The sequence below is a fragment of the Homo sapiens genome, chromosome 7 (genome assembly GCF_000001405.40).
Source record: "Homo sapiens chromosome 7, GRCh38.p14 Primary Assembly".
Taxonomy (NCBI): domain Eukaryota; kingdom Metazoa; phylum Chordata; class Mammalia; order Primates; family Hominidae; genus Homo; species Homo sapiens.
Window position 1 is genome coordinate 102,506,780 of NC_000007.14, and position 14,642 is coordinate 102,521,421.

The window sequence follows — 14,642 nt, forward strand, 5'->3', positions numbered from 1 at the left end:
CCTCGTCGGGGTCGACCTCTGTCAGGTGGGCCCACCCGCTGAAACCTGTGGGGTCAGCTCAGCCAGGGACCCGGCCCTGAACCCCCATACCCTCCACCCTCAGCCCCACCAGGCACCTTGAGGCACCTCCATAATCTGGGAATCCCCTAGGCACCCGTGAAGCAGGGGCTGGTATCCCCAATGACAGATGGGGAAACTGAGGCTCTGCAGGTGAAGAAACAGCAGTTGGAAGAGCTGGGATTAGAATCTAAGTCAGTGACCTGGGGCCTGTGCCCTCACTATTGTGTCATTTTTGTCGTTGTTGTTTTTAGAGACAGGGTCTCACCCTGTGAGCCAGGTGTGGTGGCGCATGCCTGTAATCCCAGCTCCTCAGGAGGCTGAGGCAGGAGAATTGCTTGAACTCAGATCGCGCCATTGCACTCCAGACTGGGTGACAGAGCAAGACCCCATCTCAAAAAAAAAAAAAAAAAAAAAAAAAAAAGATGGAGTCTTGCTATGTTGCTCAGGCTGGTCTCAAACTCCTGACCTCAAGCAATCCTCCCACCTCAGCCTCCCAAGGTGCTGGGATTATAAGCGTGGGCCGCTGTACCCAGCCAGATTCCCCATCTTAAAACGGGAAGAGAGTGGCCCTCCCCTAGGGCTGCTGGGAGGAGGGTCTGAGGCCCAGATGGAGAAGCTACAAGATTGCGCCATTGCACTCCAGACTGGGTGATAGAGCAAGACCCCATCTCAAAAAAAAAAAAAAAAAAGATGGAGTCTTGCTATGTTGCTCAGGCTGGTCTCAAACTCCTGACCTCAAGCCATCCTCCCACCTCAGCCTCCTAAGGTGCTGCGATTATGAGTGTGGGCCGCTGTACCCAGCCAGATTCCCCATCTTAAAACAGGAAGAGAGTGGCCCTCCCCTAGGGCTGCTGGGAGGAGGGTCTGAGGCCTGGATGGGGAAGCTACAAGGCACCCGGAGGAATAGCCTCACTGGGGCCACTAGACCCCAGAGACGCTGGCTAAGGCTGCAGGTGGGAAAGGCCTTTGGCCTGGCAGGGGCCAAGAAGCCCCATGAGTCAGCAGAACCTGCCTTCGCCCTGCCCCCATCCCTGGCCCAGCGTCACAGACAGGAGCAGGTGTGTGTGGGGGGAAGCCAGTAAGCGGGACACAAAGGCTCTGATGGCAGAGCCCATAGCATCCAAGAACTGGTTTGAACCCTCAGAGAAGCCCAGAGAAGGCAGGAGCTGCCCAAGGTCACACACAGTGAGGCTGGCACAGGGCTGAACCCTCAAAATCATGTCTGGGCAGAGCATGGTGGTTCACACCTGTAATCCTAGCACCTTGGGGAGGCCAAGGCGGGAGGATCTGTCAAAGCCAGGAGTTCAAGACCAGCCTGGGCAACAGAGTGAGACCCCCATCTCCATTTTTTTTTTTTTTTTTTTGAGACAGAGTCTTGCTCTGTCACCTAGGCTGGAGTGCAATGGCGCAATCTTGGCTCACTGCAACCTCTGCCTCCCAGGTTCAAGAGATTTTCCTGTCTCAGCCTCCCCAGTAGCTGGGATTACAGGTGAGTGCCACCATGCCCAGGTAATTTTTATATTTTTAGTAGAGACAGGGTTTCACCATGTTGACGAGGCTGGTCTTGAACTCCTAATCTCAAGTGAATTGCCACTGGGATTACAGGTGTGAGCCACCATGCCCGGCCTCCATCTTTGTTTTTCTTTTGGAGATGGAGTCTTGCTCTGTCATCCAGGTTGGAGTGCAATGGCGTGATCTTGACTCACTGCAACCTCCGCCTCCTGGATTCAAGCGATTCTCCTGCCTCAGCCTCCTGAGTAGCTGGGATTACAGGTGCCCACCACGACGTCTAGCTAATTTTTTGTATTTTTAGTAGAGACAGAGTTTTGCCATGTTGGCCAGGCTGGTCTTGAACTCCTGACCTCAGGTGATCCACCTGCCTCGGCCTCCCAAAGTGCTGGGATTATAGGTGTGAGCCACTGCACCCGGCCTCTATTTTATTTTTTATTTTTATTTTTTATTCATTTATTTATTTATTTATTTTTGAGGTGGAGTCTTGCTCCGCTGCTGAGGCTGGAGTGCAGTGGCGCGATCTCGGCTTACTGCAAGCTCTGCCTCCCAGGTTCACGCCATTCTCCTGCTTCAGCCTGCCAAGTAGCTAGGACTACAGGTGCCTGCCACCACGCCCAGCTAATTTTTTTGTACTTTTAGTAGAGACGGGGTTTCACCGTGTTAGCCAGGATGGTCTCGATCTCCTGACCTCGTGATCCACCCGTCTCGGCCTCCCAAAGTGCTGGGATTACAGGTGTGAGCCACCGTGCCCGGCCTTTTTTTTAAAAAAAAACTATATAAAAATTGTAAAAACAATAACACAAAACAATGTCTGCATCCCAGAAATAATTGAAAGGGATCTCCAGCCTGGACTGGCTCTAGGCCAACCCTTCAGACTTAGGACACAGTAGTACTAGGGCCCAGATGGAGGCGACCCCATGGGTTACAGAAGGAGCTGGCCTGATTTGGAGAAGGGGTCCCTATGCTTCAGCAATAGAGTGTAAGGAGGCCCCTTCTTCTGCCAGCAGAGGCCTCAGATTCCACCCATAGCAGCCCCTCTTCACCCTAGGGAAGAGGCAGTAACAACCAGGCTTGGGAACATGCTGCAGAACAGAGGCCAGGAGTACAGAACGTGGCCCCGGCTTCTGGGGAGAGTAGAAATGGCTTTCCCTGAGCAGGAGACCAGACGGAGCCTAGAGGGGAGGTCTCCGAGTGGGAGGGAGGCCAGGGACTGGGCAGACCAGTGTGGGAGGGAAGGGAGAACTTACCCTTAGGGTGAGAGGCTATGGTGTCCCTTGTAAGGCAGACCTTTCCGATAACGTCGTCCCGGCTAGAGGAGGGAGACGGAGGCAGAGCTGGGCAGGGCTTCAGTATCTGCCCTCTGGGACCTCCCACCAAGTTCAGGGCCCCCCCGGGGGGAGCAGGGTGGTGGACACCGCTGTCATTTCCAGAGTAACCCAACAGAGCTGGACCTGTGGCCCTTCTGTAGGCTGTGGGTTCTGGACCCTCTAGGGGGATGTGATAGGTTTCTCACATGCCCACACATGCCAAGCTCACACTCTCTGGGTGCCCATCTCACAGCTCACACCTGCACGCACACGTGTAGTCCATGCACACTTGTGCCTGCATGCCTGCACACACACGTGTGTATGTGGCGCATGCACCATGGAGCCACGCATGTGCACACCCACACGCTCAAGCTTTTCGCCCTCCCAGGCCCCCAGGCTCTGCCTCCCTCCAGGCTGCAAAGAGGATGCCAAAAAGGACCCAGGAGTCCTGGTGGTGAAATGGGCCAGGGAGCAATCAGATGGCCAGGTCTGGGTCCCAGCTGGAGAGGGGGGCACTCACCTGAGGGCATCCTCATCCATGACATAGAAAGCCACAGCGTGGAAGGTGGGCGGCAGGTGCACTTGGTACTCCTCACCCCAGAAGGGGCACAGGGTCTTCCACACTGTGGCTGTCCTGCAGGAGAGAACCCTCAGCATGTGCCCAGGCCACTCCCAGGCCCTGGGCTGGGACCTTCCTTGTATCTTCCCCTACCCCTATAACAACTGGCTCTGCCACTGATGTGTTTTCCCTGTGCCAGACCCTACTGTTCACCACCAATCACTACCCCCTGACATTCCTCTCTGCTCTGGATGGGGCACAGGGCTGCCTCTCTCTGGCTGTTATTTATTTTATTTTATTTTTTTGAGACGGAGTCTCGCTCTGTCGCCCAGGCTAGAGTGCAGTGGCGTCATCTCGGCTCACTGCAACCTCTGCCTCCCAGGTTCAAGCAATTCTCCCTGCCTCAGCTTCCTGAGTAGCTGGGATTACAGACGCCTGCCACCACGCCCAGCTAATTTTGTCATTTTCGTAGAGACAGGGTTTCACCCTGTTGGCCAGGCTGCTCTCGAACTCCTGACCTCAGGTGATCTGCCCACCTCGGACTTCCAAAGTGCTGGGATGACAGGCGTGAGCCACCGTGCCCAGCCTCTCCAGCTGTTTTACATTTGGGGAAACTGAGATCACAGTTGGCAGGCATTGGCCTCAGGTCACAGGGTAGCTGCCTCAGGGCGACTGGTGAGCCTGGCCTCACATCCTCACCCAGCTCTGGTCAACCCCCTTTGGATCAGAGCCTTCAACTCATGGGACTCAGTGGGCTAGCGGGTGGGGAGACGCTGAAGCCCCCAAGGACCCGGATGAAAGTTCAGGGGACCACCTCATGCCAACCACTTCTCAGACAGGTCATCTGTTTCCCTTCTGTATCAAGAGCATCAGAGCCATCACACCCCTCTCCCTCTTGCTGTCTGTGGTTTGCAGACCCTCGAGAAAGGCTGGGAGCCTGCTTGCAGGTAGGGAAGGACTGGGCTCCGAGTAGGCCACGGGCACTCAGGTGGGCAGAACAGTAGGGCAGCTCTGGCCATGAACTTGGAAGCAGGAGTCTGGGTGAAGGAAGGGAGAGGACAGCAAAGACCCTGCCCAGAGATCATGGGGACCATGGAGGAAGGGACATCCGGAGGAAGTGACTCTTCAGGGTGCAGGCTGGGGTTGCCCAGCCTCGAGGGATATTACTATGGGACTCTCAGGGGACAGGACCCAAGTTAGAGCCAGGACCAGGGAGGGGAAGGGAGCTCAGGCTCTGGGGTGGCCAGACTTGGGCTCCAGTTGTGGCTCTGCCACTTTTACTAGGCATGTGACCTTGGCCAGGGTAGTTAGTCTCCCTGAGCCTCAGTTTCCTTGTCTGTAAATGGGGTCTAATGATATCGTATCTCGTTAATTGCAAGAACTAAACGGGCTGGAAAAGGGCTGGCTCCACAAATGAGAGTTGTTGTTACAAATCGTCAGCATCTGTCTCTCCCGGAGGTTGTGATGATTGCAAAGATGAACAGAGTCCGGTGAGAGGCCCTTGGCCAGGCCAGTTCCCTGAAGGTCTTTCTCGTCTCCTAGCTGGGGTGTCAGGGCGAGGTGGGGAATCCCAGGCAGGGGACCAGGTGCTCCAAGCCCCCTCCCATCTCCGTACAAAATTCACAACAAAATTCACACCCCTTTGCGGGGAGAGCGCGGGCCGATGAGAGGCTGAGCGCCCCTCGGTCCTGGGGGTGGGGGCGGTACCTGATGATGGGCTCATTGTCCACCTTCACGATGCAGTAGGGGTCGCTGCTGCCAGTGCTGCAAGACAAATAGGCAGGGGCGGGGCTGGAGGGCGGGATCGGGGCGGGGACTCGCGGCAGGCTCCTCTCTCTTTTGGCCCCTCGGGAGGAGTGCGGGGGAAGAGAGCGGAGGCTGAGTCTCCGCGTCCTGGTTTGGAGACCGCAGGCTCCTCCGGCCAAACACGGGTCCCCGCCCTCAGCCCGGGAGCGGATGGTGAGGGAAGGGCAGGAACCCGCACCAGGGCTCCCCTTTCGCGGGCAGGGGTGGGAGTAGATGGAGGGAGAGTTGTGGGGGAGGGAGAAGGAGGGGGAGGAGACAGGGATGGGTAGAGAGAGAAAGGAGAAGAAAGGAGGGGGAAGGAGGAAGGGGAGAGACTGGGAGAGGGACAGAGGGAGGGGCAGAAAGGGAAGGGGACGGACAGGGAGGGGAGAGAGAGGGAAGAGGAGACAGAGGGAGGGGGCTGAGAGGGAGGAGGAGAGAGGTGGGGGTTAAGAGGGAAGGGGGATGATAGGGAGGGGGAGAGAGAGGGAGGAGAGTAAGAGGGAGGGAGTTAAGAGGGAGGGGGAGACTGAGTGAGGGGGTGAGAGGGAAGGGGTGAGAGGGAGGGGGAGAGAGGGAGAAGAGTAAGAGGGAGGGGGAGAGAGGGAGGAGAGTAGGAGGGGGAGAGAGGGAGGAGAGTAGGAGGGGGAGAGAGGGAGGAGAGTAAGAGGAAGGAGAGTAAGACAGAGGGGGAGACTGAGGGGGTGAGAGAGGGGGGAGAGAGAGAAGGGGAGAGAGGGAGGAGAGTAAGAGGGAGGAGAGTAAGAGGGAGGGGGAGACTGAGTGAGGGGGTGAGAGGGAGGGGGAGAGAGGGAGGAGAGTAAGAGGGAGGGAGTAAAGAGGGAGGGGGAGACTGAGGGAGGGGGTGAGAGGGAGGGGTGGAGAGGGAGAGGGGAAAGACAGGGAGGGGAGGGAGAGGGACAGAGGGAGGGGGTACTGGAAACCTCCTGTTCCTCCCGCAGGGGATAGAATGTTCCTCCTTTCTATGCCCTCCTACCCCATCCCTGCCTCCCCCCAGAACAGCTCCAAGCAACAGCCCCAGGCAAGCTCCTGGGACCCCTACCCTCCACACCAAAGTCGAGCCCCTTACTCTCCCTGGAGCCTTTGCTCCTGCTCTCCCCAACACTGACACTGCTGTCCCTCCTGCCCAGTCGGCCTTCAGCCCTGCCAGAGCCCTCCCTGGCCCCAGGACGGGACGGGGAGGAAGGCCTCCCTGGACTCACACTGCCTGCCCACTTCATCCAGCCTGGTAGTGATCAGCTGCCTCCCACCTGCTCTGAGCTACCTGGGGGCGGGGAGCATGCCTGTGTCCCCAGGGCCCCCACAGGGCTTGGCACAAGACAGGCAGCCCATGAGTGTTTGCCGAATGAACAGACGAATGAATGAACTGATGAGTGAATGAATGAATAAATGTAACAGCTATCTGGGGAAAGAGGGATGGGGGAAGGCAAACACGCGCTCAGTTCCAAGGGTCTCAGGTGTTGGGGGGCTCCTGGGGCTGGGAGAGGCCTGCAGCCAGGCCTAGGGCTGGTACTGGGTAAAAGTGGGGAAGTGAGGGCTGTCTCTAGAGCTGTTCCTCCAGTGAGTGTCCATAAAAAGGAAGTGTGTTTCTATGGTGGAGGGTGGGGAATTCCAAGCTCTGCTTCCCTTCTCAAAAGGGGCTCTTCCGGCAGAGGAAGGCATTTGGGGCCAACAGCTCCAGAAGCTCCTGGACACAGACAGGAAATGTCTGCCAAGACTCAGTTTTCCTACCTATAAAGTGGGAAGTGTAACCCCGGCTCACAAGGGAGCTTCCCTGGGTCCTGAGACGATAGAGAAGGTCTTGGAGGTGCTCAGTAAATGTTAGCACTGCCTGCATCTCTGACTGTAACCTCCCCCTGCCATCATTTGAGAGCCCCCGCCTCCTGGCCAGGTGTGGTGGCTCACACCTGTAATCCCAGCACTTTGGGAGGCCGAGGTGGGCAGATCACGTGAGGCCAGGAGTTCCAGACCAGCCTGGCCAACATGGTGAAACCCCGTCTCTACGAAAAATACAAAAATTAGCCGAATGTAGTGGTGGTGTACAACTGTAATCCCAGCTACTGGGGAGGCTGAGGTAGGAGAATCCCTTGAACCCCGGAGGAGGAGGTTGCAGTGAACCAAGATCGCGCCACTGCACTCCAGCCTGGGCAACAGAGCAAGACTCTGTCTCAGAAATAAATAAAATAAAATAAAGAGCCCCCCCACCTCCAGGGAGCCCCCTGTGAATACCCCAGCTTGCATCCCATCAACCCAAAGCCAGGGGACTCCAGGTGCTAAGAAATCAGGCCTCTGAACACCCCAGGTGCTGGGCTGGGCTGCAGGATCCAGGAGCCATACAAGGAGCTCAGAGGAGGCAGGGAGAGGTCAGTACTGACTGAGGCAACAGGGGACCTCCGTGGGCTGTCCCCCACTACTGGGCTGCTACTGCTTCCAAAGGCCTGGAAGCAGGACCCGAGTCCTGGTGTGCAAGGACTATGAAGAGCCGGGTGGCTGGATCAGAGGTGGGGCAAGAGGACGGTATTGAGAGCAGGCCGAGGCCAGATTTAAGGACCTGGGCCCAACCATGGTCCCCAGTGGGCTGCTGGGACCCAAGCCCTGCCCAGTTCCTTCTTCGCTAGTGTTGAGGCCCCTAGGCTGCCCACCTCTCTCATTTCTCCTTTCCCGAGCCAGTTGCCACTGGCCTGTCTGGCTACTTTCGGGGCCTCTATATTTAGGGCCTTGGCAGTTTCTAGGCTGTGGAAGGAGGAGGACCAGGGAAAACCCCAAAATAGCCTTGGGCCAGTCCCCAAGGCCACTTGGTGTGGGAGGCAGTGGGTCACTGGTCATCGTGAGACTTGGCTCATGCCTAGGTACGTGGGGACGAGAGACAGTGGGAAGAGGCAGGGCAGGAACAGGCAGGCTCTGAAAGCTAGCAGTGATGGGGAATGCAGCTGCGCTCTGTGCCCTTTAGAGGAATAAAAACCCATGAGTAGAAGTGGCAGGAAGGCAGCTGGCAGCTGTGTGAGGACAGCTTCCTCCTTGGAACTGTCTCAGTCAAGATGAGCCACTATGAGAGGCGGTAAGCTCCCCGTCCTCAGAAGTATGCAAGCCCTGGCTGGAGGAGATGCTACTCAGAAGATAGGCGGGGTGCTGGTGAGGCACAGTGAAACTCCAGTACTCAGTGAGGGCCTCCCATGATCTCCAAACCCCTGCCCGACTCTGCAGCCAAATGCTTTGCATAGGATTTCCGAGGCTCAGTCTCACTGAGCCCAGCCGCAAGCTTACAGCCGCGGGCAGGCTAGAATTCTCAGCCTGTCGGCAGCAAAGGCAATCTGAATCCTGACTTCTCTACCTACCCTCTTGGCAAATGGCTTTCACTTCCTGAGCCTCAGTTTCCCAATGTGCAAACCGAGGATGTCTATCTTATAAAGCTAAGAAGAGGATTAAGTGGGGGAAGTCCTCAACACCTCTTATTCTCCCTACTATGGACCCGGTGCCAGGATGAATGAGTCACAGTCCCTGCCCTCACAGTCAGCTGGGACAGGCACCACTTGACGGAGGAACTGCCACACCAGGGGCTTCCTCCTGCCACCCAGAGTGCTGGGGGGCGAGCCCAGGAGCCAGGAACTCTGCCCAAGTGCACCAGGGAATGCCCTGGAGAGGAGAAGTTTGAGAGGAGTCCTGAACATTGAATAGGAGTTTTCTGGAGGACTGAAGTGGAGTGCTTGAAGGCAGAAGTCCCCACACATGGGCGAAAGCAGAGATGTGAAGGGTAGTAGCCCAAATGTGAGGGACTGTTTATGGGATGGTTTAAGAGGCGGCTGACAGGTCAGAGCTGTGTATGCAAGCCACAGGGGAAGATGGGGGGTTGCAAAGGAGACGTGAGTAGGGCAGGCAGGGGGGCAGGGTGAGGATCGAGATCCCAAGGCACCCCTCCACTGTAGATGGAACCCCTTTGCCCAGAGGCAAAGCACTGAGCAGGGAACCAGGCACTGGGCTCCCAGGTGGGCATACTCCAAGAGCTTGGCTGCCCTGGGCTGGAGAGAGCCTGGAGCCAGGCACTAGGGCCAGCTGCTGTGGGGATGAGGAGGGAGGCGACAGACGGAGGGGCTGCTCCTCCCAGCTGCCACCAGCCAGAAGAGGCCAAGATGACCTAGTTCCTAGTGCCAGTGGTGGCAGGGGGTGGGGGATGCTTAAAGGCTGGGCCTGGAGGCTGAGACCCTTCTCAGAGCTCCTCTGCCTTCCCAGCCCACAGACCTCACTGCCAGCTCCCACTCCACCTCCCTCCAAGCCTCCAAGCACAGAAACCCACCTAGGGATGCCCACCGCCCTCCCTTCCCCATTGTCATGGTAACTGCTGAGCTGGGCCTCATCAGACCCAGGGGGCCTGGAACTGGCACTGCTCTCGGTGGTGGCGCGCTGAGCTTGCTGGGAAGCTCACAGGGGCCACCACACATATGTGTGAGCAGAGTGCCTGCCCCCCACCCTGCTCCACCCCCTCGCCCATGCTAGCCACTTCTCTGCATCCAGGAGCCCGGGGCGCCCAAGGGGTGGGGAACTGCAGCTCCGCAGACTTTGGACTCTGTTTCCTCCAGGCTCCACTTTTCCCCCTCCCACCCTCCTCCTCCAGGCAGCCAGTGCCCCTTGACCTTTGAGCTTTCCCCCTCTTCCTCTAGAGGGATTTCAACCCCTAGTTTAAAGAGGGGAAACTGAGGCTCTAGGAGCAGGGAGCTGCCTAAACCCTGTACATGAGGAAGGTGGTGGCAAGACCAAGATGGTGGGCCAGGGGTCAGGCAGCTCAGCCCTGGGACCTACTGAGAAGAGTGGAACAAGGGGCCCCTGAAACCTCCCCAAATCGAGCCAGGGACCAGGGGAATCCCCAGATGTCAGTGCCTGTGAGAAGCCCTAGACTCAAGACCCTGCTCTGCCTGCCACTTGGAGCCAGCATTTCACTTCTCTGAACCTCAGTTTTCTCATCTGTAAAATGGAACGGTGAGAACTGCCTTTCGGGGTGGTTGAGAGGATTAACGGGATGGCTCAGGTGTAAAGCCCAAGGCACAAGCGACAGTTACTACCCTCCTTCCCTCCCCCACAGTCCTGCACCTGTCCTGGCCTCCTGACCTGTTCTCACTTTTCATGCCAGTCCCTCCTACCCGAGTGCACAGCAGGAAGCCCGGGGACAGCCCCTGGGCCCCAGCATGTGCTTCAGGTGCACACTCCGGGGCATTAAGGGCTCTGGAACTACTGAGGAAGACCCTTCCTTTGCGGGGGACACCCCACCCCCTCCAACCCCACCCCGGGGGCAGATCACCAAGACGTCTCCCCTGGCATGTCACCAGGCTCCAGCTCCTGTCGTATCAAAGCCCCTTCCCCTCGTGAGCCGCGGATCGCTGACAAATTCTCGCCCCCTCCCTAGTTCCCAGCCCCCAGCCCTCGGTGACACTTCCCCGCCCCCCGGTTGTCACCCCGTCTGGTGCTCGCAGAAAATGTCACTGTCCCCATTTTCCCCGCCGATCCCCCACCACGGCCGCACTCCCGCACCCTCTCCGCTGCTCTTGTGGGTGGACCCCGGAAAGGTCAGGCGTCCTGGGGGGCAGTGCCCCTCCCCGGAAAGTTGGGGCTCCCACCCCCGGCCGCGCTCACATGTCCTTGGCGGGAAGGTTCTTCCCCTCCACGATGCGGATGTACAGCGAGCTGCGCTTGGCCATCGCGGGGTGCCGGCTCGGGGGAAGCCAGACACCGGGGTCCGGGGTGGCGGGCGGCGGGCGCTGGACTGGGCGCCGCAGGGGGGGCGGGCCGGGGAGGAGGCGGGGGCGGGGGCGGGGCGGCGGGGGCGGGGCTTCGCTGCCACTCCACTCACCCCGCCCCCGCCCCACGTGCGGGGGACACTGCGCCCGGGCCGGCCAATCCGCGACCGGGGTTCCCCAGGGCGGGGAGGGGCCGGCCGGGGCCGCAGCTCTCATTGGCCGTCTGGGGCGTGAGGGGCGGGGCCTGTGAGGAGGCGCTGACACTCGCCGGGCAGCCGGCGCGGTGGCTCGAGGGGGGCGCCCCTGGAGGAGCGGGTGGGGGACACTGCAACCTCCACCTCCCGGTTTCAAGCAATTCTTCTGTCTCAGCCTCCCAAGTAGCTGGGATTGCAGACACGCGCCACCACGCCCAGCTAATTTTTGTATTTTCGGTAGATACGGGGTTTCACCATGTTGGCCAGGCTGGTCTTGAACTCCTGACCTCAGGTAATCTGCCCACCTCGGCCTCCCAAAGTGCTGGGAATACAGGCATGAGCCATCGTGCCTGGCTGTTTTTATGTTTTTTAGAATCAGAAGAAAAAAAATATGTATTTTTTGTATTGGTTGGTTTGTGTGTGTGTGTGTGTATGTATGTATGTATGTATGTATGTATGTATGTATGTATGCATTTGAAACAGGGTCTTGCTCTGTTGGCTGAAGTGCAGTGGTGCAATCATAGCTCACTGCAGCCTCAATCTCCTGGGTTCAAGCAATCCTACCACCTCAGCCTCCCATGTAGCTGGGACTACAGATGCATACCACCACGACTGGCTAATTTTTTTTATTTTTAGTAGAAATGGGGGGGTCTCATTATGTTGCCCAGGCTGGTCTAGAACTCCTGGCCTCAAGTTATCCTCCTGCCTTGGCCTCCCAAAGGGCTGGGACCACAGATGTGAGCCCACCATGCCTAGTCAAACAGGAGTATAATAGTAATGAATATGTAATAATGAATCTGACCTGACTGGTATCAGTCAGTCTTTATGCCAAAGCAGTTGTAAAATACACATTTGAATATCTTTTTTTTTTTCTTTTTTTTGGGGTGGAGTCTCGCTCTATCACCCAGGCTGGAGTGCAGTAGCGCAATCTCAGCTCACTGCAACCTCTGCCTCCCTGACTCAAGGCATTCTCCTGCCTCAGCCTCCCGAGTAGCCAGAGCTTCAGGGACCTGCCACCACGCCTGGGTAATTTCTATATTTTTAGTAGAGATGGAGTTTCACCAGGTTGGCCAGGCTGGCCTCAAACACCTGACCTCAGGTGAGCTGCCCACTTCGGTCTCCCAGAGTGTTAGGATTACAGGCGTGAGCCACCGTGCCTAGCCGTATTTGAATATCTTAACCCATATAAGTCAAACATGCCTAGGGCTCACAAAAGTTACAGTGCATCCTGGCACAGGAGAGGAGGCAGCTCTTGAGTTTCAGTGCATGCTTTTGATATTCACTATAGGTCAATGTCGTTGAAAGAAAAAGTGTTTGAGGCTGGGCACAGCGGCTCACGCCTATAATCCCAGCACTTTGGGAGGCTTGAGATCGGAGGATCACTTGAGGCCAGGAGTTCAAGCCCAGCCAGGGCAACATAATGAGACCCCCCCCCCTTTGCTACAAAAAATAAAAATATTAGCCAGGCATGGTAGTGTGTGTCTGTAGTTCGAGCTACTCAGAAAGCCGAGGCAGGAAGATTGCTTGAGCCTAGGAGGGGAGGCTGCAGTGAGGTATGATCGCACCACTGCACTCCAGCGTGGGCGACAGAGCAAAACTCTGTCTCCAAAAACAAAAACAAAAACGAGGCCAGGCGTGGTGGCTCACACCTGTAATCCCAGCACTTTGGGAGGCCGAGGTGGGTGGATCACCTGCGGTCAGGAGTTCGAGACCAGCCTGGCCAACATGGCGAAACCCCATATCTACTAAAAATACAAAAATTAGCCGGGCGTGGTGGCAGGCACCTGTAATCCCAGCTACTCTGGAGGCTGAGGCAAGAGAATTGCTTGAGAACCCGGGAGGCAAGAGAACCCGGGAGGCAGAGGTCGCAGTGAGCCCAGTTCGCACCATTGCACTCTAGCCTGGGTGACAAGAGTGAAACTCAGTCTCAACAAACAAACAAACAAACAAAAAAAGCAAGGAAGGAAATTCTTACACATGCTAAAAGATGGATGAAACTTGAAGACATAATGCTAAGTGAAATGAGCCAGTTACAAAGAAAGACAAATAGTGGTTGCTTCCACCTATGGGAGGTATCTGGAATAGTACAATTCACAGAAGCAGAAAGGAGAGTAGAAGTTTTCAGGGGCTGGAGCGGGGCAGGGAAAGCGAGTTGTTTGTTGAGTGTAGGGTTTCAGTATTGCAAGGTGAAAAAGTTCCAGAGATGTGCATATAGTTAATACTACTGTGCTGTCCACTTAAAAATAGTGAAGATGGGCCAGGGGCGGTGGCTCACGCCTGGAATCCCAGCACTTTGGGAGGCCGAGGTGCGTGGATCGCCTCAGGTCGGGAGTTTGAGACCAGCCTGGCCAACATGGTGAAACTCTGTCTCTACTAAAAATATAAAAATTAGCTGGGCGTGGTGGTGCACGCCTGTAGTCCTAGCTATTCAGGAGGCTGAGGCAGGGAGAATCGCTTGAACCTGGGAGGTGGAGGTTGCGGTGAGCTGAGATGGCACCACTGTACTCCAGCCTGAGCGACAGAGAGAGACCTCGTCAAAAAAAAAAAAGCTTAAGATGGGCTGGGTGCGGTGACTCACGCCTGTAATCCCAGCACTTTGGGAGGCCGAGGCGGGAGGATCACTTGAGGTCAGTAGTTGGAGACCATCCTGGCCAACATGGTGAAACCCCGTCTCTACTAAAAATACAAAGATTACCTGGGCGTGGTGGTGCACACCTGTAGTCCCACTACTCGGGAGGCTGAGGCAGGAGAATCACTTGAACCCAGGAGGCGGAGCTTGCAGTGAGACCAGATGGCACCACAGCACTCCAGGCTGGAGACACAGTGAGACTCCGTCTCAAAATAATAACAATAAATAAATAAAATAGTTAAGATGGTAAACCTTATGTGTTTTTTTACCAGAATAAAAAAAATGCACCCATACCCCAACTCTGTAATATATTTTGGCAATATAAAACAATTGAAAAGAATTTTATAACAACTTTCAAAGCGGTTTGGGGGCAAGTAACTCATTTGATTTGCTCCTGGCCTTGACTTCTCTACCAACATCATGCATTCTTGAGAATCTTAGGATTCTTCCAAAGTGAGAAAACGTGACCTACGAATTGTTTTCATGCGCAGTGATGCATTTTGAAATACTAAATTTAACAATGGATGAAACTGACATAAAGTTATATTTAGAAGACATTTCAGTAAACATTTACTATTTTTTAATGTTGCAGTTTTAATATTTTGGAGCCAAAGCATTTCCCGCTCTTAAACCTCGAGGAGTTTTAGGAGCTGGAGGCCTCACACCTCTCCTGGAAAAAATTGTCCCTGCCCTAAGGAAGGACTCCTGAGCCACCTTCCGTCCTCACCCATCAGACTCTGACAGTGGCTTCTGGTGGCTGTCCTGCTGTGCCATGGCCCAGAGCCCCCAGAGAGGACTTTGGGAGGAGGCAGGTCCTGGAAGAATGAGACCGAAGGCATTGCTGGAGGA

General features: G+C 56.2%; 1 protein-coding gene across 7 annotated transcripts in view, besides 4 other annotated features; it reads right to left on the bottom strand.

Annotated features, from left to right (window-relative positions):
• RASA4B (RAS p21 protein activator 4B) overlaps positions 1–10,998 on the bottom strand; it is a 37,802-nt gene extending 26,804 nt beyond the window's left edge. For 5 of the 7 annotated variants that reach the window (XR_007059979.1, NM_001277335.2, NM_001367767.2 and 2 more), the window contains exons 1-5: positions 10,867–10,998; positions 5,146–5,202; positions 3,400–3,513; positions 2,820–2,881; positions 1–45 (exon numbers count right to left, since the gene is read on the bottom strand). The exon at positions 1–45 is cut by the window's left edge and continues 85 nt beyond it. Coding sequence is in view for 5 of the 7 variants with exons in the window: in NM_001277335.2 (NP_001264264.1) it covers positions 1–45; positions 2,820–2,881; positions 3,400–3,513; positions 5,146–5,202; positions 10,867–10,931 (343 nt within the window). In the remaining 2 variants the exon portion in view is untranslated. The other 2 variants (XM_047419681.1, XM_047419684.1) reach the window with 2 other exon arrangements.
• Positions 4,541–5,042: an enhancer, noted in NCBI's record as "H3K4me1 hESC enhancer chr7:102151767-102152268 (GRCh37/hg19 assembly coordinates)". NCBI's record gives its function as "activates a minimal SCP1, AML or CMV promoter by ChIP-STARR-seq in naive H9 embryonic stem cells {active_cell/tissue: H9 hESC(naive)}" and the evidence as "EXISTENCE:reporter gene assay evidence [ECO:0000049][PMID:30033119]".
• Positions 5,043–5,542: an enhancer, noted in NCBI's record as "H3K4me1 hESC enhancer chr7:102152269-102152768 (GRCh37/hg19 assembly coordinates)". NCBI's record gives its function as "activates a minimal SCP1, AML or CMV promoter by ChIP-STARR-seq in naive H9 embryonic stem cells {active_cell/tissue: H9 hESC(naive)}" and the evidence as "EXISTENCE:reporter gene assay evidence [ECO:0000049][PMID:30033119]".
• Positions 5,863–6,157: an enhancer, noted in NCBI's record as "tiled region #3260; K562 Activating DNase unmatched - State 1:Tss". NCBI's record gives its function as "activates a minimal TATA promoter and a strong SV40 promoter by Sharpr-MPRA in K562 cells {active_cell/tissue: K562}" and the evidence as "EXISTENCE:reporter gene assay evidence [ECO:0000049][PMID:27701403]".
• Positions 9,616–10,240: an enhancer, noted in NCBI's record as "H3K27ac-H3K4me1 hESC enhancer chr7:102156842-102157466 (GRCh37/hg19 assembly coordinates)". NCBI's record gives its function as "activates a minimal SCP1, AML or CMV promoter by ChIP-STARR-seq in naive H9 embryonic stem cells {active_cell/tissue: H9 hESC(naive)}" and the evidence as "EXISTENCE:reporter gene assay evidence [ECO:0000049][PMID:30033119]".
• Positions 10,999–14,642: the final 3,644 nt, after the last annotated feature.